The 27181-nt window shown below is 37.7% G+C and overlaps 1 protein-coding gene across 3 annotated transcripts in view; it reads left to right on the top strand.

The window, feature by feature from the left end:
* SEC63 (SEC63 protein translocation regulator) overlaps positions 1–27181 on the top strand; it is a 90453-nt gene that overhangs the window by 49108 nt on the left and 14164 nt on the right. For all 3 annotated transcript variants that reach the window (XM_047418131.1, NM_007214.5, XM_047418130.1), the window contains 10 exons: positions 66–174; positions 2324–2418; positions 2521–2653; positions 4380–4472; positions 6103–6257; positions 7584–7731; positions 11370–11452; positions 15204–15263; positions 15446–15619; positions 25955–26113. In XM_047418131.1, coding sequence (XP_047274087.1) covers positions 66–174; positions 2324–2418; positions 2521–2653; positions 4380–4472; positions 6103–6257; positions 7584–7731; positions 11370–11452; positions 15204–15263; positions 15446–15619; positions 25955–26113 — 1209 coding nt within the window. The remainder of the gene's footprint in view (positions 1–65; positions 175–2323; positions 2419–2520; positions 2654–4379; positions 4473–6102; positions 6258–7583; positions 7732–11369; positions 11453–15203; positions 15264–15445; positions 15620–25954; positions 26114–27181) is intronic.

The raw sequence follows: 27181 nt of genomic DNA, 5'->3' as shown, positions 1-27181 counted from the left end.
CCATCTCGCCCAGCCTATCGTAGTTTTTATACTTTCTTTCTTGTTTAATTTTTTTTGTGTTTTAGGGCTCTTGGTGGTATCGCTCAATACGCTATAGTGGAGACCAGATTCTAATACGCACAACACAGATTTATACATACTTTGTTTATAAAACCCGAAATATGGATATGAAACGTAAGTAAACTTTAAGTAACTTTGCTATTAATCACATTGTTTTGTGACTTATGTGGGGTTGATATATATTCCTTAACTCTATACTGTTGAGATTCTATTGTACAGTTTTATAAATAGTTAATTTATATAATTAAAGCTAGAGAAAAATGCCAGCACCCTTTGTCACATTTCTTAATTTATATTTTCATTATTCACATTTACTCATATATTTCATCAGAAATTTTACCATAATCCTTATGCGTGCAAATTTTGTAATTCTAGCTAACATTTATTATTTGTTGTATGCCAGACACTGCTAGTTACTGTATGTGTCTTGACTCATTTAATTTTTGCTGTGTTCTCGTAAGTGAGTGCTGTTTTACAGTACATCTTATAGATGAGGAAACTGAGGCACCGAAAAGTAACACTCTCAAGGATACACAGTAAGTGATATCCAGGATTGAACCCAGGCAGTCTGGTTCTTGAGCCTTAAACCATTATGTTATAGTGTATTAATTGTAGTAAAAATAAAAAGTCTTAGGTGTGTTGAAAGAAAACTAGTGCTAGAGTATTTCATTCCCAGTTCTTATTTAAAAATTTAAGAAAAAAAATACTATTTTCACTTTCTTTGATTATATAAAGCAAACTTTGCAGTTTATCCTTGGGAGATAGAGTGTTACCTTTCAGAATGATGGCTCTGCAAAAATCATAGCTGCTCCTCCATCCCTCTTTAAAAAAAAATAAAATAAAAGAATGTAAGTTTTGAATTGTGTCTCCGGGACCAAAATGGACTTTTCTGCATTTTGGATTTGGCAATTTTACTAATTTTCTTAGTAATGAGAGAGACTTCTCATGGTCATATATGACTGTGTGTGAACAGATTTTACATTTCTGAATGAGTTAATACTACTTTGCCTTATCGAAAATATTACTCTTCCTAAAGCTGGATTGAAATGTTAATACAGAAACTTACTCCCTTATGAAAATGTTTCATGTTTATAATTTTAAGTGTGCTTTTTGCCTCAATCATTTTGATTTCTGTTTCTTTTCTGAGGGTGGTATCCTTACACAGCTTTGTCAGAGAAGCATTGTTTAGCTGGTGGATTTCTTTACACATTCTAGGTTATTTTAGCTGTTTTAGGAACAGTTGTTATTAAGTAAACATTTGAGGGTAGTAATAGTAATAGCTCACACAAGTACTGTGCTTGCTGTGTGTCAGGCACATATGAAGAAGCTGAGATACACAGATATGAAGAATATTGTCCTAGGTCATTTAGCTAGGAAGTGACAAAATACCAAGGTCTGTGCACTTAACTTCTATACTATCCTGCCTTTTGTGAGTACATTACATGGATTTTTTTTTCTCTGAGGCAAAGTTTCTCTCATCTCCCAGGCTAGAGTACAATGGCACAATCTCAGCTCACCACAACGTCTGCCTCCTGGGTGCAAGCAATTCTCCTGCCTCAGCCTCCCGAGTAGCTGGGATTACAGGCGTGCACCACTATGCCTGGCTAATTTTTGTATTTTTAGTAGAGATGGGGTTTCACCATTTTGGCCAGCTTGGTCTCAAACTGGCTGGTCTCAAATTCCTGATCTTGTGATTTGCCTGCCTTAGCCTCCCAAAGTGCTGGGATTACAGGCGTGAGCCACCACTGGCCTGAGGGTTTTAATCATGTGTATTTCCACAAAATCCTCTTGGGTTCCATAATAAAATTTTTTTGGAAAATTATAATGCATATTAGGTTTACAAAAGGCCTTGAGAAGTCATGTAGTAAAGAAACCTTTAACTCTTGTTTACATTATTTTCAGCTTTATTTAATCATAGGGCCCCCTTTTTTCACGTGAATTATTAATACCACACAGAATACTGATGTTCTATAGAAAGTTTCTGTGGAACTTTCAGTGATTTTAATGCCTCCAGTTGCTTTGGTGTGCTTTATTTGATCTATACTTCTGTTCACTTGTGGTGGTTGATACTGTGTACATTTTAAAAAGCGAGATGTTACTTTTTTTATGGAAGAAATAAATACTTGTCAGTGGAGTTCAGATAATTTTTAGCATTGTGCATGTTTAGAAAAGTGCTTCACTTTCAAGTGAATTAAGTATCTCAGGAGGGGGAATTAATGAATGAGCATATTTATTTACCTTCATATTTCTTTTGTTTTGTTAGGTCTTATCATGGTTTTGGCTGGAGCTTCTGAATTTGATCCTCAGTATAATAAAGATGCCACAAGCAGACCAACGGATAATATTCTAATACCACAGGTTAGGCTAATTTCCCAAATCCCCCGATGAGCAGTTAAGTATTAAAGTGAATACTTTTTTTAAAAAAAGCGTGTTTTTGAATAATTATTTTATTTATTCTAGCTAATCAGAGAAATTGGCAGCATTAATTTAAAGAAGAATGAGCCTCCACTTACCTGCCCATATAGCCTGAAGGCCAGAGTTCTTTTACTGTCTCATCTTGCTAGAATGAAAATTCCTGAGACCCTTGAAGAAGGTATTTGTGATTCCGGTATCTACAGAGGTTTAGTGGGATGAAAGCAGCAGAATTAATTAGACTTAATGGTGTGTATTAGTTTGTTCTCGCATTGCTCTAAAGAAATACCTGAGGCTGGGTAATATATAAACAAAAGAGGTTTAATTGGCTCATTGTTCTGATGGCTGTACAGGAAGCATGGCTGGGGAGGCCTCAGGAAACTTTTATTCATGGCAGAAGGCAAAGCCAGAGCAGGCAAAGGCAGAGCAAGTGTCTTCACATGGCCAGAGCAGGAGGAAGAGAGAGATGGGGGAGATGCCACACGTTTTTAAACAACCAGGTCTTGTGAGAAGTGTATCTCGAGAACAGCACCAAAGGGAGAACTCCACCCCCCTGATCCAATCACCTTCCACCAGGCCCCACCTCCAGCATTGGGGATTACCATTCAACATGAGATTTGGGTGGGGACACAGACCCAAACCATAGCATGGTGGTGCGGTGTGTTTTGTTGCTGTTCTTTTTTGGCCAAATAATTGCTCAAGGACTTTTTAAAAAAGAAATGTATATGCTACATAATTACTTCACAAATGGTTTGAAGATCTAAGTAAGTCAGACGTTTTGGCAAGTGTTAAAATTTAGTGTTTCAAGGTGAGAGAATGCTCTGTATAAGAAATGTTTAGTTAATTGCAGATCATACAAAAGTTCCTAATAATTTTTTTAAAGGACTTTGTAAGTTTTTGGAGGGAGCAAAATGGATTTCACAACAACCAACACCTCTCACCTCCCCATCTACAAGCTTCCTCCGACAGTGGTTACCAATAATGTCTGTTTTATAGTTATTTAAAGCTTCATAAGTACTTGAAGCCATGTATTCTGCTTAAAAGAAAAGTAGTTGATGGAGGCAACAGTGTTTCCAGGGATGTCATTAATTATCTCTTTTTCACCGACATTATTTCAGTTAAAGTTTTAAAAGACAGTTACTACCTCTAGGAAATAAATGTTCTTTTTGAATGATATCCTACCATCCCCCACCTCCTTTAAGGCAGTAATGCAGTTAAATGCTTCCGAAAACAAGGCCATGTGACGCTTAGTAATTGGTGATAGGACAGGATGCTTATGGTGGAATGAAGGAGCACTATTTAGGCAATATCATTGGAGTTGCTTTGAAATACTCAATTAACTAGTAATTCTGTTGCTAATGTTCTGTACAGATACATAAGCATCTCCATTTTTACTTACCTGTAAGAAGCAGGAAACAAATCATTGTTGAGTACCAAATCCATAGGTTAATGTGGTCTTAATAGTTAACTATTATATGCAGTATAAATGAAAGAGTCTTTCTCTTTCTGTAAGTTGCCCTCTTCTTCTCTTCTACGTCTCTTATCTCTCCCCCTGTATTTAGCTGACATATTTATTTTGACATATTTAGTTGATCTGCCTGCCTCAGCCTCCCAAAGTGCTGGGATTATAGGCGTGAGCCACCATGCCCAGCTGGGAGTTGGTTTATTAAGCCTAACATTATGATATTAAAAATTTGTCTTTGAAACGTCTAATCTGAGCTAGGGTTTTATGGCTGATTTTTGACATAGTGATACTGAGGAGAAACTCTTCCATTCAATCTGTAAAATTCTGAGATCATGTGAAATATTTGTGGCATAACTTTAATATTAGTTTTGGGCCACAGTGATAAAGATGCTTTAACTGTAAAATTAAAATGATCTGTTTCAGGTTTTTTATTGTTTTGCAGATCAGCAATTCATGCTAAAAAAGTGTCCTGCCCTACTTCAAGAAATGGTTAATGTAATCTGCCAACTAATAGTAATGGCCCGGAACCGTGAAGGTGAGGAGGAAATATAGTTAATTATGTTATACTTTTTCTTGCAAGCATATGCAGATTGTACTTCATATTTTAGGATTTATGGGTACTCAGACTTCTGTCGGCCAGTTCAGTGAGCTTCTTCAATTTTACTCATGTCTTTTCATATTTCTTTCCTATATTTTCTATTATTTAAAGTCTATATCACAGCTCACTGGGTTTTTTTTGTTCTTTTTTTTTTTTGAGATGGAGTCTTGCTTTGTCGCCCAGGCTGGAGTGCAGTGACAAAATCTTGGCTCTCTGCAACCTCTGCCTCCTGGGTTCAAGCGATTCTCCTGCCTCAGCCTCCTGAGCAGCTGGGATTACAGGCGCGTACCACCACACCTGGCTAATTTTTGTATTTTTGGTAGAGACAGGGTTTTACCATGTTGGCCAGGATGGTCTCCATCTCCTGACCTCGTGATCCACCTGCCTCAGCCTCCCAAAGCCCTGGTCACTGTGTTTTTGATTTTAATTCTTGTTTTTTTTTTTTTTGGAGACAGAGTCTCACTCTGTCGCCTAGGCTGGAGTGCAGTGGCGCGATCTTGGCTCACTGCAACCTCCGCCTCCCAGGGTCAAGTGATTCTCCTGCCTCAGCCTCCTGAGTAGCTGGCATTACAGGCGCATGCCACCACGCCCGGCTAATTTTTGTATTTTTAGTAGAGACGGGGTTTCATCAGGTTGGTCAGGCTGGTCTCAAACTCCTGACCTTGTGATCCACCTGCCTCAGCCTCCCAAAGTGCTGTGATTACAGGCATGATAATTTAATTATTTTATTGTTCAATTGTTTGCAAAGATTTAAAATTTCTCTTTCTTTGAATAATTTTTGAGTTAGGTCATTTTTTCTAACAGTGAATTTGAAATCTTTAACTGATATAAAAGTGATTCATATGTCATGTAATTTTTATTAATTAATTATAGACAGCATCTACCAGGGCTGGAGTCCAGTAGGGTAATCATAGCTCACTGCAGCCTCAAACTCCTGGGCTCAAGCAGTCCTTCTACCTTAGCTCTCCGAGTAGCTGGAACTACAGGTGCATACCACAGCACGGAGCTAACTTTACATTTTGTGTAGAGGTGGGATCTCACTTTGTCGCCCAGACTGGTCTGGTTTCCAACTCCTGGCTTTAAGCAATCCTCCCACTTCAGCTTCCCAAAGCCCTGGGATTACAGTCATGAGCCACATGCCTACAGGCACCTAGCCATTTTTTTTTTTTTGGTATGGAAGGAAAAGAATGAGGGAATTTCTGGTCAGTAATGGAAAGGAATGCCCTTAAAAAAGGATAGTGGTTATGGTTTGTTGTTACGGGTGATGTTGGTTCTTGTCATGGTGTCATATGTTGGTGATACTGATAATGTCTGATAATTTACTATTATTTGAGGTGAGGCAAATAATTTTTCTTTTAAATCAATGGTTGTTGCTGGAAAATGTTCATTAGATCGAGTTTGTATATTTTTAGTGTCTTCTCTGGTAACTTTTAAAGGAAAATCTTACTATGATCCTCAAATTTGAGGTGTTATGGATTTAGTGTGAATTTTGTTTTTGTGATGAATTGTATACTCCTGAACATGTAAAAAGTCCAGCCCTGTTTCTTTTTTTCCTGTTCTTTCTAAGAAAGGGAGTTTCGTGCTCCAACTTTGGCATCCCTAGAAAACTGCATGAAGCTTTCTCAGATGGCCGTTCAGGGACTTCAGCAATTTAAGTCTCCCCTTCTGCAGCTCCCTCATATTGAAGAGGACAATCTTAGACGGGTTTCTAATCATAAGAAGGTAATTCTTTGCTACTTTAAAGTCAGTTTTCAGCAGTTTGTCCTGTCACTTAAAGGTAACATGAATAAAAGTTTTCTGGAAATGGTTACTATGCATTTTTTAGATTTAGAATGTCTTAAATACTCTAAAACTTTCTCTCAGGTGGTTCTGTTAACATTTTCTTGACTAGGTAGCTGTGTTTTATAGTATTTTACTACTGTAAGTAGTTTTATTATTTTGGGGGTTGTTGCATTTAAAAAGTCAACAGTTAGTTCCTTATATTATGTTACCAAAAATAAATGTACTGTCTACTTTACAGTCATTTTATTCTTGGCTTAAGGTTGGGCAATTGTTTACTGGTTAAGCATGAACAACAAAAACATTTAATAAATCAAATAAAGACAGTTCTTATTTAGAATATATAATCTATAGTATAAACATGATAATGAATCTTAAGATATAACAAAAATTTGTGTAAATGAAAAACTTGAGGAAATATAAGAAACTGAAGTTACAATTCTAGTAGGAGATTTTAAACATTATTTTGTATATGATAGATAAAACTAGCAGAGAATAGACATTGGATTTGATAGTATATTAATGTAGAATTAATAAATGCATGTTGGAAATTAGTATCAGAGTTCTCTGTCCTTTTAAGTACTCATGTTCCCCTTATAAATTTGATTGTATGTTAAGTCATAATTAAAAACTTCAGAATCTAAAAGCAGAGATTTTACATGCCTCATGATCTAATCTGTGTCTTTGAAAGTGAAAAATAACTAGCACCAAACACCTGGAAAATTAAAGAACACGCTCCTAAGTAACCATTTTGCCAAGATGGATATTACTGTAGTAATAGCTATATTTTAAGAATAACAAAAATGAGAATATTGCATAGTAAAACTTTGAAGGTGCGTCTTTATTGAGGTTTATTTTTACTTTTATTAGGTAAAAGTAAACGTTTATTATTAAAGGTTTGTTAATAGTAAACCTATTAATTGCTAATTAAAGGTTTTTGTTATTAAAATTGAAAATAAACTGAGGACATCAATTGACAAAGTTCTTGGTTGAGTCAAGATTCTTATTTTTTCCCTCCAACTTTGTTTTTTCTAATTTAAAAAAATAAGCCTGTATTAACTTTATAATTTAAAAATTCTTAATTTAAATTTTCTTGGAGAAAAAGGTCATGAAATGCCATATCGTTATTTTGTACTTTGAAATGCACATTAATCAACACTTTTCTAAAAGTTGCTGGATTTTGTTGTGGTTAACATGTGAGTAATTTTCTTTTTATGAAAAGCTTTGTGAGTTAGGGAATTATGTATTTTCTTTTTTTTTTTTATTCAGTATAAAATTAAAACTATCCAGGATTTGGTGAGTTTAAAAGAATCAGATCGTCACACTCTACTGCACTTCCTTGAAGATGAAAAATATGAAGAGGTTATGGCTGTCCTTGGGAGTTTTCCATATGTGACCATGGATATAAAATCACAGGGTAAGTGGGAGGTTTCTCTGTTGAGCATTGCTTCCCTTTTGATAGATTGGTTCTCATTTATTTGACTCAGGATTCTCAAAACACTGTACTTAATAACATAACTTGTTATTAGACTTTGCAGAACTGTAGTTTACCTGTCAGATTTACTATGTTGGAAAATGATTTATACCTAATAGTTTGAGAACACTGATAGAGTCCTACTTTTATTATCCTCATAATGGGATGAAGTCTGAACACTCTGTTCTGTAGTTCAACTTTTAGCAATTTCTTAACTTTCCAAAGAATGATGAAGACTTCCAGGCATAATAAAAGAATGAGATATTTGAAGTATATTATTAGTATGAAAGAAATAGCTGCCTAGTTCTAAAATTAAATTTTTAAAACCCAACTTATTTATGTTAATTAAATGTTGAAAATTACTGTGTTTTATGCCACATTTCATGTGTTTTTCTTGCCCTACCTCTATATTTTCTTTGAGGGAAAAAAATAAAGGCTATTTTTCTACCTATATAATTGCTCTGTGTTTCTATTTCAATATCTGAATGGTCTTAGAATACTGAGAGAATTAGAGACTATCTGCTCCATTCTTTCATTGTGGTGGTGGTCTGAGCTTTAACATTTGCTAAGTTACTATTATGAGAACATTCTTTTAGTTACCAAGAATACAGGGATATATTAATAATGGTTTCTGTCTTTATTTTATTTATTTATAAATAATTTTTGAGACAGGGTCTCACTCTGTCGTCCAGGCTGGAGTGCAGTGGTGCGATTTTGGCTCACTGCGTCCTCTGCCTCCCGGGCTCAAGCAATCCTTCTACCTCAGCCTCCTGAGTAGCTGGGACTACAGGTGCACACTACCATACCTGGCTAATTTTATTTTTTGTAATTTTAGTAGAGACAGCGTTTCACCATGTTGCCCAGGCTGGTCACGAGCTTCTGGGCTCAACTGCTCCACCTGCCTTGGCCTCCCGCAGTGCTGTGATTATAGGTGTGAGCCACCGTGCCTGGTTTGTGTCTTTAAAGAGAGCTTATTGTCTAGTTGAAGCAATAGGCTTAAAAATAAGATAAGGGCTGGGCCCAGTGGTGTCATGCCTTTAATCCCAACACTTTGGGAGGCCAAGGCAGGGGGATCACTTGAACCCAGGAGTTCGAGACCAGCCTGGGCAACATAGTGAGACCCTGTCTTTATAAAATTAAAAAAAAAACACACACACACCAAGATAACATATGCTAAGTGTTAACGTGAATGACACAGACATTGTACCATTTATTTATACAGCAAATATTGAATGCTGTGCACTCCTCTAGGTGCTAGGGAAGCAGTGGTAAGACATACCCTCTGCTTATTGAGCTTGTATTCTAATAGGAATTCTAATTGGGAAAGGAAGGCAAACAGTGCAATCTGGTTTCAGTTTGGCTGGAGTGTAGCATATGTGTTGTGAAAACTTGGTTTGCTTTGGTGAGGAGTTGGGGTTGCCTTGTGGGGCCATGAGTTTTCAGACTTTAAAAATACTAATTTAAAAGCTGTATTTAGGACTGTGCTGATTTAATAAAACTGTCCAAATAAAAATTTTGGGACTTAGAGATACTTTGTGATATTAAGAACTGTTAAAAGTATACCCTTTTCTTTTCTTTTCTTTTCTTTTTTTTTTTGAGACAGTCTTGCTCTGTTGCCCAGGCTGAAGTGCAGTGGCACTATCTGGGCTTACTGCAACCTCCAACTCTAGGTTCAAGTGATTCTCCTGCCTCAGCCCTCCCAAGTAGCTGGGATTACAGGCGTGTGCCACCACCATGCCCAGCTAATTTTTGTATTTTTAGTAGAGACGGAGTTTCACCATGTTGGCCAGGCTGGTCTCGAACTCCCAGCCTCAGGTGATTCACCCACCTCAGCCTCCCAGAGTGCTGGGATTATAGGCGTGAGCCACCATGCCTGGCCAAAAGTACATGCTTCTTAGAAAAATGAATATTAGAAGAGATTTTCTTATAGAAAGTAGAAATTTAAGAGTGTTCGGCCTCACTGACAAATATTACCATGGATCCACTCCATAGCATCTTGGATAGACAGTTTATTTATATTTTTACAGTGCTGCCTAATTATGTAATAATAGTGCTATAGTTGGTGAAGGAGGAGTAGAAGAAATATAGAAGCAGGAAAGGGGCATCTGCATGATAATAATGCTGGAGATGGTGGATCTCCTTCCCTACCTTGCTAGAATCTGTAATAGAATCTCCTGTAGTCCTTTTCTTCACTTTAAAGCACCAAACAGCAGGTCAGCATTCATGTAGTTATTTCACATGACCTGCTTGTGCACATACAGCTGTGCAAAATGAAAAATGTAGATGAATATGTGGCCCAGATTTGATTTTTGATAATGGAGACTTCCAGGGTGAAGAAGGGATACCATACCCTTTGTTGATACCCAGCTGCTGCACCTTGTAGCGGGTAATGGAGATAGCAATTGCAGATTATTGGAGGCCATTCTTTTCAACTGATGGTATGTTAGTAAATGCCAGACCAGTATGAAAAGTAAACATAACAAACTTAAAACTGTAGGTAAAAACATGTAAGAAGAACTATCTTACATATAAAATCTGTAGAAAAAATGAATTAATGATCACATTTGAATGGAAGGTATATTTGAGTTATTTTATTTTTATTTATTTTGTTTTATTAACTTTATAGTAGAGTTTTTGGGGATATGTGTGGGAAATATGGTTTTAAAAATTAAATAATTGCAAAAACACGTATTTAGTACCATTTATTGAAAAAATACTTTTTCAAAAGTGCTTTTTAGTGTAAAGAGGATATATTTGTTCTTGCCTTTAAAAAAATAAGTCTCTTTAGTGTGGTTAGGAATACTAGCTTTCATTATTTTTTTCAGACAGACATTGATCATACAGGTAAAATCTTGTGAATGTAAGGTTTGCACAGTTTAATAGGGTGACAGAACCCTATTTTTATGTCACTGTGAGAGAACTGTGTTATGGTAGGTCTCACATTATACTGTGTTTTCAGAAACCTGGGTTTGAAGCTTAGTGTGCGAATGCAGGTGTTGTGTGGGTTTGGGTATTTTACTTTATTTCTGAACCTCAGTTTCTTTTTTTTTTTTTTTGAGATGGGGTCTCACTCTTGCCCTGAAGTGCAGTGGTACGATCTGGGCTCACTGCAACCTCCGGCTCCCAGGTTCAAGCTATCCTCCACCTCAGCCTCCCGACTAGCTGAGACTACAGGCGGGCACCATCACGCCTGGCTAATTTTTGTATTTTTTATAGAGACAGGGTTTTGTCATGTTGCCCTGCTGGTCTCGAATTCCTGAGCTCATGCCATCCGCCTACCTTGGCCTCCCAAAGTGATGGGATTACAGGCATGAGCCACCAAGCCTGGCTAAACCTTAGTTTCTGAAAGTGGAAATACTTTGTAGAGCTATTTTAAGGATTAAATGAATTAATTGTTAAAAGCATCTACTGGAGAGCCTTATACAGAGTAGTCAATCAGTTATTTTTTTAACAAATTTAAAATATAATATGCTTGAAATACTAAAGTGCCAAACTAATTTGGGTAAGCTAAGTTTTGCTGTTTGCATTAACATAGAACTTGATTTTTATTTTTTGCTGTTTTTTTTCTTCCATCTTAACAGTGTTAGATGATGAAGATAGCAACAACATCACAGTAGGATCCTTAGTTACAGTGTTGGTTAAGTTGACAAGGCAAACAATGGCTGTAAGTAGTCTATCTGTATTTTTATGCTTTAAGAGTTGTGTGTCAAGGCTTTTATATTTATTTCCCTCATTGTCAAAGTCAAAACTGTTGTAATACCAAGATCTAATTTTGCAAATTCTGTTAACTCTTTTGAAATTTTAAATTAATTTTCATGAGACAGTTTTCACATACACTAAAAAAACCTGGAAAATAATCCTTTGTGTGATAGTTTAATTCTCTATAAAACATAATCATAACAAAGTAATGTGGATATAGTTCTTGAGCTGTGAAGTGCTATACAGAAGTTGTTACTGATGAGAATTTCATCACCTATTCCTTTTTAGTCAGTTCTATAGAGAATTGACTTTTATTTTTCATTTCAAAATCTAAGAATTACAATAAAAATAACATTTTTTTTCCTGATAATGTGAAACATTTATGTTGTCTGGAAAAAATTTAAACAATGCAGAAAAGTATAGGAACAAATTAAAACTACCTAAAATCCCACCACTTCGAGATGATTCGTTTTGAGGCTCATCCCTGTATGTAGCCTAATGTATGTATACCTGTAGAGCTAAATGATGTTTTTGTCATGGATCCCTTCTCTCTCCCATTTCCTTCCTTCCTTCCCTCCCTCCCTCCTTCCCTTCTTCTCTCCTTCCCTCCCTTCCTTCTTTTTTTTTTCTTTTTTGACGGAGTTTCACCCTTGTTTCCCAGACTGGAGTGCAATGGCGTGATCTTGGCTCACTGCAACCTCCCATCTCCTGGGTTCAAGTGATTCTCCTGCCTCAGCCTCCCGAGTAGCTGGGATTACAGGCACACGCCACCACACCTGGCTAATTTTTGTGTTTTTAGTAGAGATGGGGTTTCACCATGTTGACCAGGCTGGTCTTGAACTCCTCAACTCAGGTGATCCACCTGCCTCGGCCTCCCAAAGTTCTGGGATTACAGGCGTGAGCTACCGCACTCAGCCCGTCTCTCTCATTTTCTTTAGGAAAACCCCTTGTCAGCCTCAAATGATCAGAGTGCATAATCTTGTTGTGTGTCGTCTTCTGTCTTTCTCCATGCTCATATTTACCATCTGGATCTTTATAGTGCATACGTACATATATGCACTTAAATGTAGATTGGTACTTGTCTCATGCTTTTTTGTTAAATCCAGTCCAATCATTTTGCATATATTTCCTTCATCTTTTTTTTGAGATGGAGTCTAGCTAGCTCTGTCACCCAGGCTGGAATGCAGTGGTGCAATCTTGGCTCACTGCAACCTCTGCCTCCCAGGTTCAAGTGATTCTTCTGCCTCAGTCTCTCTCTAGTAGCTGGCATTACAGGCATGTGCCACCACGCCCGGCTAATTTTTGTATTTTTAGTAGAGATGGGGTTTCACCGTGTTGGCCAGGCTGGTCCTGAAATCCTGACCTCAAGTGATCCACCCACCTTGGTCTCCCAACGTGCTGGGGTTGCAGGCATGAGCAACTGCGCCCAGCCTATTTTATTTTTTGTTGAGACACGGTCTCACTGTGTTACCTAGGCTTGAGTGCAGTGGTGCAGTCTCGGCTCACTGCAACGTCCGCCTCCTAGGCTCAAATGATTCTCCCACCTCAGCCTCCTGAGTAGCTGGGACCACAGGTGTGCACCACCATGTCCAGCCAATTTTTTGTATTTTTAGTAGAAATGGGGTTTCTCCATGTTGCCCAGGCTGGTCTCGAATGCCTGTCCTCAAGTGATATGTACCCCTCAGCCTCCCAAAGTGCTGGGATTACAGGCATGAGCCACCATGCCTGGCCTAATTTTTTTTTTTTTTTTTTTAATAGAGGTGCGGGTCTCTGTAGGCTGCCCAGCTGATCTCAAACTCCTGGGTTCAAAGGATCTTCCTGCCTTGGCCTCACAAAGTGCTGGGATTACAGGCATGAGCCACCATGCCTGGCTTTCAGTTTCTATTATTTATATTTTCTCCTGAGTCAACTGGTAGAGACTGTAGTATTTTGACTCAATTTATTCAACTAGTGGTAGATTTTAGCTTCTTTCTCTGAGGTTTTTGAGCATCTGCAAGAAATACATGCCACATTTATATCCCATGCCTAAAATTGCTGGTAGGAAAAACATATATATATTTTTTTCTTAGAGAGATGGAGGTCTCACTGTGTTGGCCAGGTTGGTCTTGAACTCCTGACCTCAAGTGATCCTACCATTTCAGCCTCCTAAAGTGCTGGGATTACAGGTGTGAGCCACCAAGCCTGGCCTGAAAATCATGTTTTGTAGTAGGATATATTGAATCAAAGATGTTGTTTTTATTATAGCAAGTGATAAGGAAGCATTTGTCATGGACTCTAGGTGAGAGAGCTGCCTCCTGGGAGAAGAGGAACTGAAACCAATGCTGAAATTGGGTTTAGAATCCAAATCTAGACTACCCATATCCTTTGGACTTCCCAGCCTGAAAAATGAGCAAAAATTTGGTCTTGAACTATTGACATTTCTGGAGTAATTGGTAGAAAAAAGAATGGAATGGAACTGCCCTGGAGTAAAGAAAAGAATTGTTTTTATCTTCCCATTCTTGTATGAACTGTACCTTGGAGTAATCAAGTATCAGAACCCAGCTAATAAGTGAAAGGAGGAAGTTATGATATAATTAGACTAGGGAGTGGCAACCTTTTTCTTTAAACATCCAGATAGTAAATATTTTAGGTTTTATAAGTCATACAGTGTTTGTAGCAACTGCTGAACTTACAGATGGGTGTGGTCATGTTCCAGTAAAGCTTTGTTTTAAAAAGCAGGTGGCAGGGCAGGCACAGTGGCACAGCTACTTGGGAGGTTGAGGTGGGAGGATCCTTTGAGCTCAGGAGTTCAAGACCAGCCTGGGCAACATAACAAGACCACTGTCTTTAAAAAAAAAAAAAAGGCAAGTGGTGTGGACTGTTCAGAGTTGACTCCTGAATTAGGCTGTTTTTATTGTATAGAGCCTAAAAATTATAACTTTTTACTTGTTAGCTTTAATAATTCTAGGGAGTTTATTAAACACAGCCTGCATGTCATCTTCTAGTATAGATGCTTACTGGGACTTAAATCCTAAATTTACTGGTTCTGTACTGATTCTAAATGGATTGTATGGTTGGTGGATATAGCTTTAGGATATGTAGATTTTCATGGTGTTTTTTTTTTATAGATATGGGGTCTCGCTCTGTTGCCCATGTTAGTCTCAAACTCTTGGGGTCAAGCAATCCTCCTGCCTTGGCCTCCCAGGGTGCTGAGATTATAGGCATGAGCCACCATGCTCCACCTGTGATGATTCAGTTCTTAGTCTCAGGTCTCAGGTCCAATAAGCAGTATCACTGACAATAGTGAATAAACTAATACTAGTCTCAAGGGTTTTTTTGTTGTTGTTATTTCGCACATCACACTGACATATTGTCAAGGTTTTAATGCAGAAAATAGTATATATTCTCATAACATTAAAATACTCAACGTTTGCTTGCTAAGAATAAAAGTGAAATTTTAAACAAATATTTTTACTGTATGTATCCTTACTGTGTTTGTAAACTTGAGTAGACTGTACTTTTCAAAACTTGTTCAAGACAGATGTGAGATACTTTAGAAGGTATCTACCTGCATAGGCACACATTCATCAGCTAGTAATTGCTAAACGTCTCCTTCTTTGTCAATTGTAGCCAGTTAAAAATACTTAATAAAAATGCAGTTTGAAAGATTGCTTTGTTTGTCTGAAAGATAAATATAGGTTGACAGATTTTGTATTTCTCTTCTTGCCGCCCCCCAGGAAGTATTTGAAAAGGAGCAGTCCATCTGTGCTGCAGAGGAACAGCCAGCAGAAGATGGGGTAAAAACTTGGGTTTCCGAACCTATTTTTCCTAGTGAAAGAAATATTTTATTTACTTTTCCAATTGACTTATATTGCTCTGGGAGAGTAATTCAGTTTAGCTATTTCCACCTAAAAATTACTACAACCTTCAATTGAATCTGTTGCTATAACTTAAGAGTGTGACGTGTTATGATTCACAGCAGGGTGAAACTAACAAGAACAGGACAAAAGGAGGATGGCAACAGAAGAGTAAAGGACCCAAGAAAACTGCTAAATCAAAAAAAAAGAAACCTTTAAAAAAAAAACCTACACCTGTGCTATTACCACAGTCAAAGCAACAGAAACAAAAGCAGGCAAATGGAGTCGTTGGGAATGTAAGTTTATTATTATCGTTATTATCATTATTAAGCTAAAATATACAAACTAAAATGTTCAAGTCTTACGTGTACAGCTTCAAAAGTTTTACATAATTTATGCACCCGTGATACCCTAGAAAGCTCCCTTGTGCTCTTCTCAGTCAGTGAGCCCTTCATCCATCTCCCCATCCCTCTACCTCCCACTATTCTGTCTATAATCGCCATAGATTAGTTTTGCCTATTCCTAAAGGTCATATAAGTGTCATATTTTATGTATGGCTCCTTTCATTCAGCATTATGTTCATGATAATCCCTCTGTATTGTTTGTAGCAGTAGTTCATTCTGTGTGTGTGTGTGTGTGTGTGTGTGTGTGTGTGTGTGTGTGTGTGTGTATAGTATTTCATTGTATGAATATACCACATTTACCTGTTTTGTGGTGGTTCGACGTTTGGATTGTTTGTAGTTCTTAACCTAATATGAATAAAGGGTGCTATGCTTATTCTTATACATGGCATTTTGTGGGCAGTCATTTTCCACCTAGCAGTGGAATTGCTAGATTATAAAGTAGGTGCATGCTTAACTCGTTAAAAGAGCCTGTTTTCCAAAGTTGTACCATTTTATGCTCTTACCTACGTGTGAGAGTCTTGTTCTACGTACTCACCAACACTTGGTTTTACCAGTCTTTTAGCTATTTGGCAGATCTGTAGTGATATCTCTTTATGTGGTTTTTGTTTGCATTTACCTAATGGCTAATGATGTTGAACACCGTTTCATATGCTTGCTGGCCATTTGGATAACTTCTTTTTCTATTGGGTTGTTTGTCTTGTTACTGAAATTGTAGGAATTCTGTATATATTCTGGATAAGAGTCCTTACATTTTTACTCTTATTGGTAGCTTCTAATGTTTATTATTTTAATGAGGTCAATTTCATTAGTCTCTTTTTTTCGTCAGTGAGGTCATCTTTCATCGATGGCTAATGCTTCTGTGTCTTAAAAATTAAGACATCCTGACTGTTCCAAAGTCATAGAGGTATTTTTCTGTTTTCTTCTGGAAACATTATTACCGTAGTTGATAAACCTATCTTGAATTAACTTTTCATTAATGGTGCAAGGTAGGGGATACGAACCACTTATACCATCACCATTCATTGAAAAGGTCATTCTTTCCTCAGTAAATTGTAATGGCACTTTGTTGTAAAATAGATGATGCTGAGCTCAGCAAGGCTACTGCGGCCAGACTGCCTCCTCTCTGGGCAGGGCATCTCTGAAAAAAAGGCAGCAGCCCCAGTCAGGGAATTATAGATAAAACCCCACCTCCCTGGGACAGAGCACCTGGGGGAAGGGGAAGTTGTGGGCACAGCTTCAGCAGACTTAAACATCCCTACCTGGCAGCTCTGAAGACAGCAGCAGATCTACCAGCACAGCATTCGAGCTCTGATAAGGGACAGACTGCCTCCTCAAGTGGGTCCCTGACTCCCATGAATCCTGACTGGGAGACATCTCCCACAAGAGACAGCTCATACAGGAGAGCTCTGGCTGGCATCTGGCGAGTGCCCCTCTGGGACGAAGCTTCCAGAGGAAGGAACAGGCAGCAATCTTTGCTGGTCTGCAGCCTCCGCTGGTGATACCCAGGCAAAGAGGGTCTGGAGCAGACCTCCAGCAAACTCCAGCAGACCTGCAGCAGAGGGGCCTGTTAGAAGGAAAACTAACAAATAGAAAGGAATAGTATCAACACCAACAAAAAGGACGTCCACTCAGAGACCCCATCCGAAGGTCACTGACTTCAAAGACCAAAGGTAGATAAATCCACGCAGATGGGGAGAAATCAGCCCAAAAAGGCTGAAAATTCCAAAAACCAGAATGCCTCTTCTCCAAAGGATCACAGCTCCTCACCAGCAAGGGAACAAAACTGGATGGAGAATGAATGTGACGAACTGACAGAAGCAGGTTTCAGAAGGTGGGTAATAACAAACTCCTCCAAGCTAAAGGAGCATGTTCTAACCCAATGCAAGGAAGCTAAGAACCTTGAAAAAGACGAATTGCTAACTAGAATAACCAGTTTAGAGAAGAACATAAATGACCTGATGGAGCTGGAAAACACAGCACGAGAACTTCGTGAAGCATACACAAGTATCAATAGCCATATTGATCAAGCAGAAGAAAGGATATCAGAGATTGAAGATCAACTCAATGAAATAAAGCGAGAAAACAAGATTAGAGAAAAAAGAGTGAAAAGTAACGAACAAAGCCTGCAAGAAGTGTGGGACTATGTGAAAAGACCAAATCTATGTTTGATTGGTATACCTGAAAGTGACGGGGAGAATGGAACCAAATTGGAAAATACTCTTCAGGACATTATCCAGGAGAACTTCCCCAACCTAGCAAGGTCAACATTCAAATTCAGGAAATACAGAGAACACCACAAAGATATTCCTCGAGAAGAGCAACCCTGAGACACATAACCGTCAGATTCACCAAGGCTGAAATGAAGGAAAAAATGTTAAAGGGAGCCAGAGAGAAAGATCGGGTTACCCACAAAGGGAAGCCCATCAGACTAACAGCAGATCTCTTGGCAGAAACCTTACAAGCCAGAAGAGAGTGGGGCCTGATATTCAACATTCTTAAAGAAAAGAATTTTCAACCCAGAATTTAATATCCAGCCAAACTAGGCTTCATAAGCAAAGGAGAAATAAAGTCCTTTACAGACAAGGAAATGCGGAGGGATTTTGTCACCACCAGGCCTGCCCTTTGAGAGCTCCTGAAGGAAGCACTAAACATGGAAAGGAACAACCAGTACCAGCCACTGCAAAAACATACCAAATTGTAAAGACTGTCAATGCTGTGAAGAAACTGCATAAACTAAGGGGCAGAATAACGAGATAGCATCATAATGGCAGGATCAAATTCACACATAACAGTATTAACCTTAAATGTAAATGGGCTAAATGCCCCAATTAAAAGACACAGACTGCCAAATTGGATAAAGAGTCAAGACCCATCCGTATACTGTATTCAGGAGACCCATCTCACGTGAAAAGACACACATAGGTTTAAAATAAAGAGATGGAGGAATATTTACCAAGCAAATGGAAAGCAAAAAAAAGCAGGGTTTATAATCCTAGTCTCTGATAAAACAGACTTTAAACCAACAAAGATCAAAAGAGACAATGAAGGGCATTACATAATGGTAAAGGGATCAATGCAACAAGAAGAGCTAATTATCCTAAATATATATGCACCCAATACAGGAGTACCCAGATTCATAAAGCAAGTTCTTAGAGATCTACAAAGAGGCTTAGACTCCCACACAATAATAGTGGGAGACTTTAACACCCCACTGTCAATATTAGACAGAAAATTAACAAGGATATCCAGGACTTGAACTCAGCTCTGGACCAAGCGGACCTAATAGACATCTACAGAACTCTCCAGCCCAAATCGACAGAATACACATTCTTCTCAGCACCACATTGCACTTATTCCAAAATTGACAGCATAATTGGAAGTAAAACACTCCTCAGCAAATGTGAAAGAACAGAAATTATAACAGACTGTCTCTCAGACCACAGTGCAATCAAACTAGAACTCAGGATTAGGAAACTCGCTCAGAACTGCACAACTACATGGAAACTGAACAACCTGCTCCTGAATGACTACTGGGTAAATAACGAAATGAAGGCAGAAATAAAGATGTTCTTTGAAACCAATGAGAACAAAGACATAACGTACCAGAATCTCCGGGACACATTTGAAGCAGTGTGTAGAGGGAAATTTATATCACTAAATGCCTACAAGAGAAAGCAGGAAAGATCTAAAATCGACACCCTAACATCACAAAAGAACTAGAGAAGCAAGAGCAAACAAATTCAAAAGCTAGCAGAAGACAAGAAATAACTAAGAGCAGAACTGAAGGAGATAGAGACACAAAAAACACTTAAAAAAAAATCAATGAATCCAAGGAGCTAGTTTTTTGAAAAGATAACAAAATAGATCACTAGCCAGACTAATAAAGAATAAAAGAGAGAAGAATCAAATAGATGCAATAAAAAAAGATAAAGGGGATGTCACCACTGATCCCACAGAAATACAAACTACCATCAGAGAATGCTATAAACACCTCTACATAAATAAACTAGAAAATCTAGAAGAAATGGATAAATTCCTGAACACATACACCCTCCCAGGACTAAATCATTAAGAAGTCGAATCCCTGACTAGATCAATAACAAGCTCTGAAATTGAGGCAGCAATTAATACCCTACCAACCAAAAAAAAGTCCAGGACCAGATGGTTTCACGGCCAAATTCTACCAGAGCTACAAAGAGGAGCTGGTACCATTCCTTCTGAAACTATTCCAAACAACAGAAAAAGAGGGAATCCTCCCTAACTCATTTTATGAGGCCAGCATCATCCTGATACCAAAACCTGGCAGAGACACAACAAAAAAAGAAAATTTCAGGCGAATATCCCTGATGAACATTGATGCAAAAATCCTCAATAAAATACTGGCAAACTGAATCCAGCAGCACATCAGAAAGTTTATCCACCACGATCAAGTTGGCTTCATCCCTGGGATGCAAGGCTGGTTCAACATATGCAAATCAATAAATGTAATCCATCACATAAACAGAACCAATGACAAAAACCACATGATTATCTCAATAGATGCAGAAAAGGCCTTCAACAAAATTCAGCAGCCCTTCATGCTAAAAACTCTCAATAAACTAGGCATTGATGGAACGTACCTCAAAATAAGAGCTATTTATGACAAACCCACAGCCAGTATCATACTGAATGGGCAAAAACTGGAAGCCTTCTCTTTGAAAACCAGCACAAGACAAGGATGCCCTCTCTCACCACTCCTATTCAACATAGTATTGGAAGTTCTGGCCAGGGCAGTCAGGCAAGAGAAAGAAATAAAGAGTGTTCAGTTAGGAAAAGAAGAAGTCACATTGTCTTTGTTTGCAGATGACATGATTATATATTTAGAAAACCCCATCGTCTCAGCCCAAAATCTCATTAAGCTGATAAGCAACTTCAGCTAAGTCTTAGGATACAAAATCAATGTGCAAAAATCACAAGCATTCCTATACACCAATAACATACAAACAGAGAGCCAAATCATGAGTGAATTCCCATTCACAATTGCTGCAAAGAGAATAAAACACCCAGGAATACAACTTAAAAGGGATGTGAAGGACCTCTTCAAGGAGAACTACAAACCACTGCTCAAGGAAATGAGAGAGGACACAAACAAATGGAAAACATTACATGCTCATGGATAGGAAGAATCAGTATTGTCAAAATGGCCACACTCCCCAAAGTAATTTATAGATTCAATGCTATCCCAATCAAGCTACCATTGACTTTCTTCACAGAATTGGAAAAAACTACTTTAAATTTCATATGGAACCAAAAAAGAGCCCGCATAGCCAAGACAATCTTAAGCAAAAAGAACAAAGCTGGAGGCATCACGCTACCTGACTTCAAACTGTGCTACAAGGCTACAGTAACCAAAACAGCATGGTACTCGTACCAAAACAGATATATAGACCAATGGAACAGAGCAGAGCCCTCAGAAATAATGCCACACATCTACAACCATCTGATCTTTGACAAACCTGTTAAAAACAAGCAATGGGGAAAGGATTCCCTATTTAATAAATGGTATTGGGAAAACTGGCTAGCCATATGCAGAAAGCAGGAACTGGATTCCTTCCTTACATCTTATACAAAAAAATTTTTTTTTTAGTTATACTTTAAGTTTTAGGGTACATGTGCACATTGTGCGGGTTAGTTACATATGTATACGTGTGCCATGCTGGTGCGCTGCACCCACTAACTCGTCATCTAGCATTAGGTATATTTCCCAATGCTATCCCTCCCCCCTTCCCCCACCCCACAACAGTCCCCAGAGTGTGATATTCCCCTTCCTGTGTCCATGTGATCTCATTGTTCAATTCCCACCTATGAGTGAGAATATGCGGTGTTTGGTTTTTTGTTCTTGCAATAGTTTACTGAGAATGATGATTTCCAATTTCATCCATGTCCCTACAAAGGACATGAACTCATCATTTTTTATGGCTGCATAGTATTCCATGGTGTATATGTGCCACATTTTCTTAATCCAGTCTATCATTGTTGGACATTTGGGTTGGTTCCAAGTCTTTGCTATTGTGAATAATGCGGCAATAAACATACGTGTGCATGTGTCTTTATAGCAGCATGATTTATAGTCCTTTGGGTATATACCCAGTAATGGGATGGCTGGGTCAAATGGTATTTCCAGTTCTAGATCCCTGAGGAATTGCCACACTGACTTCCACAATGGTTGAACTAGTTTACAGTCCCACCAACAGTGTAAAAGTGTTCCTGTTTCTCCACATCCTCTCCAGCAGCTGTTGTTTCCTGACTTTTGAATGATTGCCATTCTAACTACACCTTATACAAAAATTAACTCAAGGTGGACTAAAGACTTAAGACTTAAAACCATAAAAACCCTAGAAGAAAACCTAGGCAATACCACTCAGGACATAGGCATGGGCAAAGACTTCTTGACTAAAACACTAAAAGCAATGGCAACAAAAGCCAAAATAGACAGATGGGATCTGATTGAACTAAAGAGCTTCTGCACAGCAAAAAAAAAAAAAAAAACCCAAAAAAACAAAAAACTATCATCAGAGTGAACAGGCAACCCACAGAATGGGAGAAAGTTTTTATAATCTATCCATCTGACACAGGGCTGATAGCCAGAATCTACAAAGAACATAAACAGATTTACAGGAAAAAAACAAACAATTCCATCAAAAAGTGGGCAAAGTATATGAACAGGCACTTTTCAAAAGAAGACATTTATGCAGCCAACAAACATATGAAGAAAAGCTCATCATCACTGGTCATTAGAGAAATGCAAATCAAAACCACAATGAGATACCATCTCACGCCAGTTAGAACAGCAGTCATTAAAAAGTCAGGAAACAACAGATGGTGGAGAGGATGTGGAGAAATAGAAACACTTTTACACTGTTGGTGGGACTGTAAACTAGTTCAACCCTTGTGGAAGTCAGTGTGGCGATTCCTCAAGGATCTAGAACTAGGAATACTTGACCCAGCAATCCCATTACTGGGTATATACCCAAAGGATTATAAATCATTTTACTATAAAGACACATACAGATGTATGTTTATTGCGGCACTGTTCACAATAACAAAGACTTGGAACCAACCCAAGTGCCCATCAATGATAGACTGGATAAAGAAAATGTGGCACATATACACCATGGAATACTATGCAGCCATAAAAAAGGATGAGTTCATGTCCTTTGCAGGGACATGGATGACGTTGGAAACCATCATTCTCAGCAAACTAACACAAGAACAGAAATCCAAACACCGCCATGTTCTCACTCATAAGTGGGAGTTGAACAATGAGAACACATGGACACAGGGAGGGGAACATCACACACCGGGGCATGTCGGGTGGTGGTGGGCTAGGGGAGGGATTGCATTAGTAGAAATACCTAATGTAGATGATGGGTTGATGGGTGCAGCAAACCACCATGGCATGTGTATACCTATGTAACAAACCTGCATGTTCTGCACATGTACCCCAGAACTTTAAGTATAATTTTAAAAAAAAACAACAGATGATACTGTAGGTCTGTTTATGGACTCTAGTTCATTCTATTGATTATTTGTCTATTCTTATGCCAGTGCCATACAGTTTTAATTGTTGTAGCTTTATGTTAAGTCTTAAGATATGGTAGTGTAAGTGCTCCAACTCTTTATTTTACTGATCAAAATTTTCTTAACTGTTTTAATTCCTTTACATTTCCTGCCAATTTTTAGAATAAGCTTAACAATTTTCCCCCCAAAAAGCTGCTGAAATTTACATTGGTATTGCATTGAATCCATGGTTCATTATGGGGAGAATTGACATGTTAACAATACTGAGTCTTGTTATTCATGATTGTGGTTTATCTTCATTAATTTGGATCTTCCCTAATTTTTCTCAGCAGTGTTTTGTAATTTCCAGTGGCAGAGGTATGGCACATCTTTCGTTAGATTTACTCCTATGTATTTGATCCTTTCTGGTATTACTGTAAATGTCATTAAAATTTTTATTTGGTGTTTGTTGCTGGTGTATAGAAATAGTTGCTTCTAAATATTGACCTTGTATCAAAGAGTCTTATTGGCAATAATTCTAACCATTTGTAGACATTTTAATAAAGATTTTCTACATATGCAGTGTTGCCATCTGTGAATAAAGACAGTTTTACTTTTTTCTTTTTAATCTTTATACCCTTTCTTTCTTTCTTCCTTTCTGCCTCACTGTGCTGGCTAGAACTGTCAGTGTAATACTGATTCAGAGTGATGATAGTAGGAACCTTGTCTTATTTTTGGTCTTAGGAAGAAAGCAAACATTATTTTACCACTAAATGTGATGTTAGGTGTAAGTTTTTTGTAGCTATTCTTTGTCCGGTTAAGGAAATGTTTCCTTTTATTTCCAGTTTGCTGACAATTTTTATCACTAGCAGATAGTGAATTTCATTAAAGGTTTTTTTTTTTTTCCACTTTTTTCCTTTCTGTTGAATTAGATTGATGGATTTAAAAAATTTGAAACCATCCCTGCATTCCTGGAACAAATATCATTTGGTCATAGCTTAGTATTCCTTTTTATATTTATCTGGATTTTACAGTATTTTCTTTGGATTCTCACATCTATTTTTAAGAGCAAATATTGGTTTGTCATTCTCCTTTTTTGTAATATCCTTGTCAGGTTTTGTATCAGATTTATGCTGGCATTATTAATCAAGCTAGGAAGTATTCCCTTTTTTGCTCAGAAGAGTTTGTGTAAGCTTTGATTTGTTTTTTTAGTCTCTGGAAGAATTCTCCAGGGAAACCATCTGGGCCTGGAGTTTTTAAAGGGAGTTATTCGCAGAGTTTATTTCTTTAATATATATTCTGCATTTTTCTTATTGATTTTAGCAAATTATGTTTTTCAAGGAGTTTGTCTATTTCCTCTTAATTATTAAATTTGTTGGCGTAACATTATTCATAATTTTCTTTTAATGTCTGTTGGATATAGTTACGCCTCTTGTTCCTAATATTGGTAATTTTTATTCTTTTTTTTTCTTGATCATTCTTGCCTAGGGGTTTAATCAATTTTATTAGCCTTTTCAAAGAACCAACTTTTAGTTTTAAGTTTCTTTTTCTGTATCTCTCTCTGCTCTTTTTTTTTTTTTTTTTGAGACAGAGTCATGCTCTGTTACCCAGGCAGTGGCTCACTGCAACCTCCGCCTACCAAGTTCAAGCGATTCTCCTGCCTGAGCCTCCCGAGTAGCTGAGATTACAGGCATGTGCCACCATGCCCAGCTATTTTTTTGTTTGTTTGTTTGTTTTTTGTATTTTTAGTAGGGACGGGGTTTCACCATGTTGGTCAGGCTGGTCTCAAACTCCTGACCTTAAATTATCCACCTGCCTCGGCCTCCCAGAGTGCTGGGATTATAGCATGAGCCACTGCGTCCCGCCTGTTTCTGCTTTCTTTGCATTTAATTTGCTGTTCTTGATTCTTAAAGTGAGCTAGTATTTTGCTGAAGATATTGCCTTTACTTACTGCATCATACCTTGTTAGTTAAAGAAAGTGATTCTGTACTTCCAAAGGAGTACTTTTCTTTATTTCTTTTTTTTTTTGAGATAGGGTCTTGCTCTGTCACCCAGACTGAAGTGCTGTGGCATGGTCATGCCTTACTGCAGCCTTAAACTCCTGGGCTCAAATGATTCTCCCACCTCAACCTCCCAACTAGCTGGGACTACAGACGTGTACCACCATGCCTAGTGATATATATATATATATAATTTTTTTTTTTTAAGGGATCAGGTCTTGCTGTGTTGCCCATGCTGGTTTGAACTCCTGGCCTCAAGCAGTCTTCCTGCCTCTGCCTTCCAAAGTGCTAAGATTACATGCATGAGTCGCTGTGACTGGCCCCAAAATTATACTTTTCTATAAACTACCTGTTTCCTTAAATAAAATATGATTGATGTTTTTGAAAGCAGAACCATCTTAGCCTTTGTGTTATTGGGCTTTGCAAATAGAAATACTTTTATTTGACAAATTATGAAGAATGAATAAAATAACTAACAATAGACAGACTAGCCAGATATTAAACTCTTTAGTCTGACTCCCACATCTTTATAAGTAGGAATGTTTATAATTTTAAAAAATTGTATATGAATAGTGAAATTGTCATCGAGTCAGTTTAGTTAAATTGACAATAAGTTAACTTCAGGGATTCAGATTGATATGTTCTCATTGAGATATGCAGAATCTTTGTGTTTGCCTTTCCCTTTTAGGAAGCTGCAGTAAAGGAAGATGAAGAAGAAGTTTCAGATAAGGGCAGTGATTCTGAAGAAGAAGAAACCAATAGAGATTCCCAAAGTGAGAAAGATGATGGTAGTGACAGAGACTCTGATAGAGAGCAAGATGAAAAACAAAACAAAGATGATGAAGCAGTAAGCCTTATAGGTTTAAATAATTTAAATAATTGGAATTATATCTCTGATGATAGCTTTGGGTTTTGTTGTTGTTGTTCATTTGTTTGCTTGCTCGCTTGCTTTCTTTAAATAATATCTGTATATTTTATAATTTTATTACTTTGAAGAACGTTTTTAAGGAATGGTAGTCAAGGTTATACAGAAAAATGATTTCTAACAAGGATTGGAAATCCTCGTTTTCTTAAATATTAAATTGTTAGGTAGAGTAGGACCTGGGTTTGAGGTTAGGTCAGTTGGTCTCATAAGGGGATTTTCAGTGTTGGGGATATCTCTGGGAATATGAGTAAGGAAAGGTGTTTGTGAAATGCATAGTGCTTACTTGGAAGGCTGTGTCACAAGCTCCAGTTCATGTTTACTGTAGAGAAACAGTACTGTGGACCCTGATGTCAAGAGGTTGGTTAAGGGAAAAGCTAACATTTATAGAATACCACCTTGTTTCATGGGTGTATATAAGATATATTAAGGACAGGGGAAGTCTTTACAGAATTTATTAATATGGTGTAAAAGTATAGCGTATAGGAGAAAAATCTCATGGCATTAAGTTGCACATAATTTATGGGAGAATTATAGAGAAGAATGGGGTCCTTAGAGGCTCACTGCAAATAAACTGCTCGGCCATTTCTTTTAGGTTTGTTAGCGTTGTTCTTTTTGAGTGGCCATTGATCTAAAAGTAACACTGTAGTTTGGGAGATAAAAAGGGATTGCCTGAATAGCCTCAGAGGCAAAAGGAGAGGCCAAAAAAAGAGGAAGAGGTAAAGGGCAAAGGATAAAAGTATAAGGGGTTAATAACACACTTGTCCTTGGGAATGGTAGAAAACAAAGATGTCTATTGTTAGCATTTGCAGGGCCTTGGCTGTTTTTGTACTTGGAGAATTAAATTGATTGCCAGGAAACTAAAATCTGTCAAATACATTATATCCCTGGCCTGACTTTGAGAAAGAATTGACATATTCCTAAGTATATTAGGGTAAGTAGCAGTGACTCTTAGGGTTTTGACAGACTAATTTCTTCATATGACCAAAAATA

The sequence above is a fragment of the Homo sapiens genome, chromosome 6 (assembly GCF_000001405.40).
Source record: "Homo sapiens chromosome 6, GRCh38.p14 Primary Assembly".
NCBI classification, from domain to species: Eukaryota; Metazoa; Chordata; class Mammalia; order Primates; family Hominidae; genus Homo; species Homo sapiens.
This window is presented reverse-complemented; position numbering and strand designations above follow the sequence as displayed.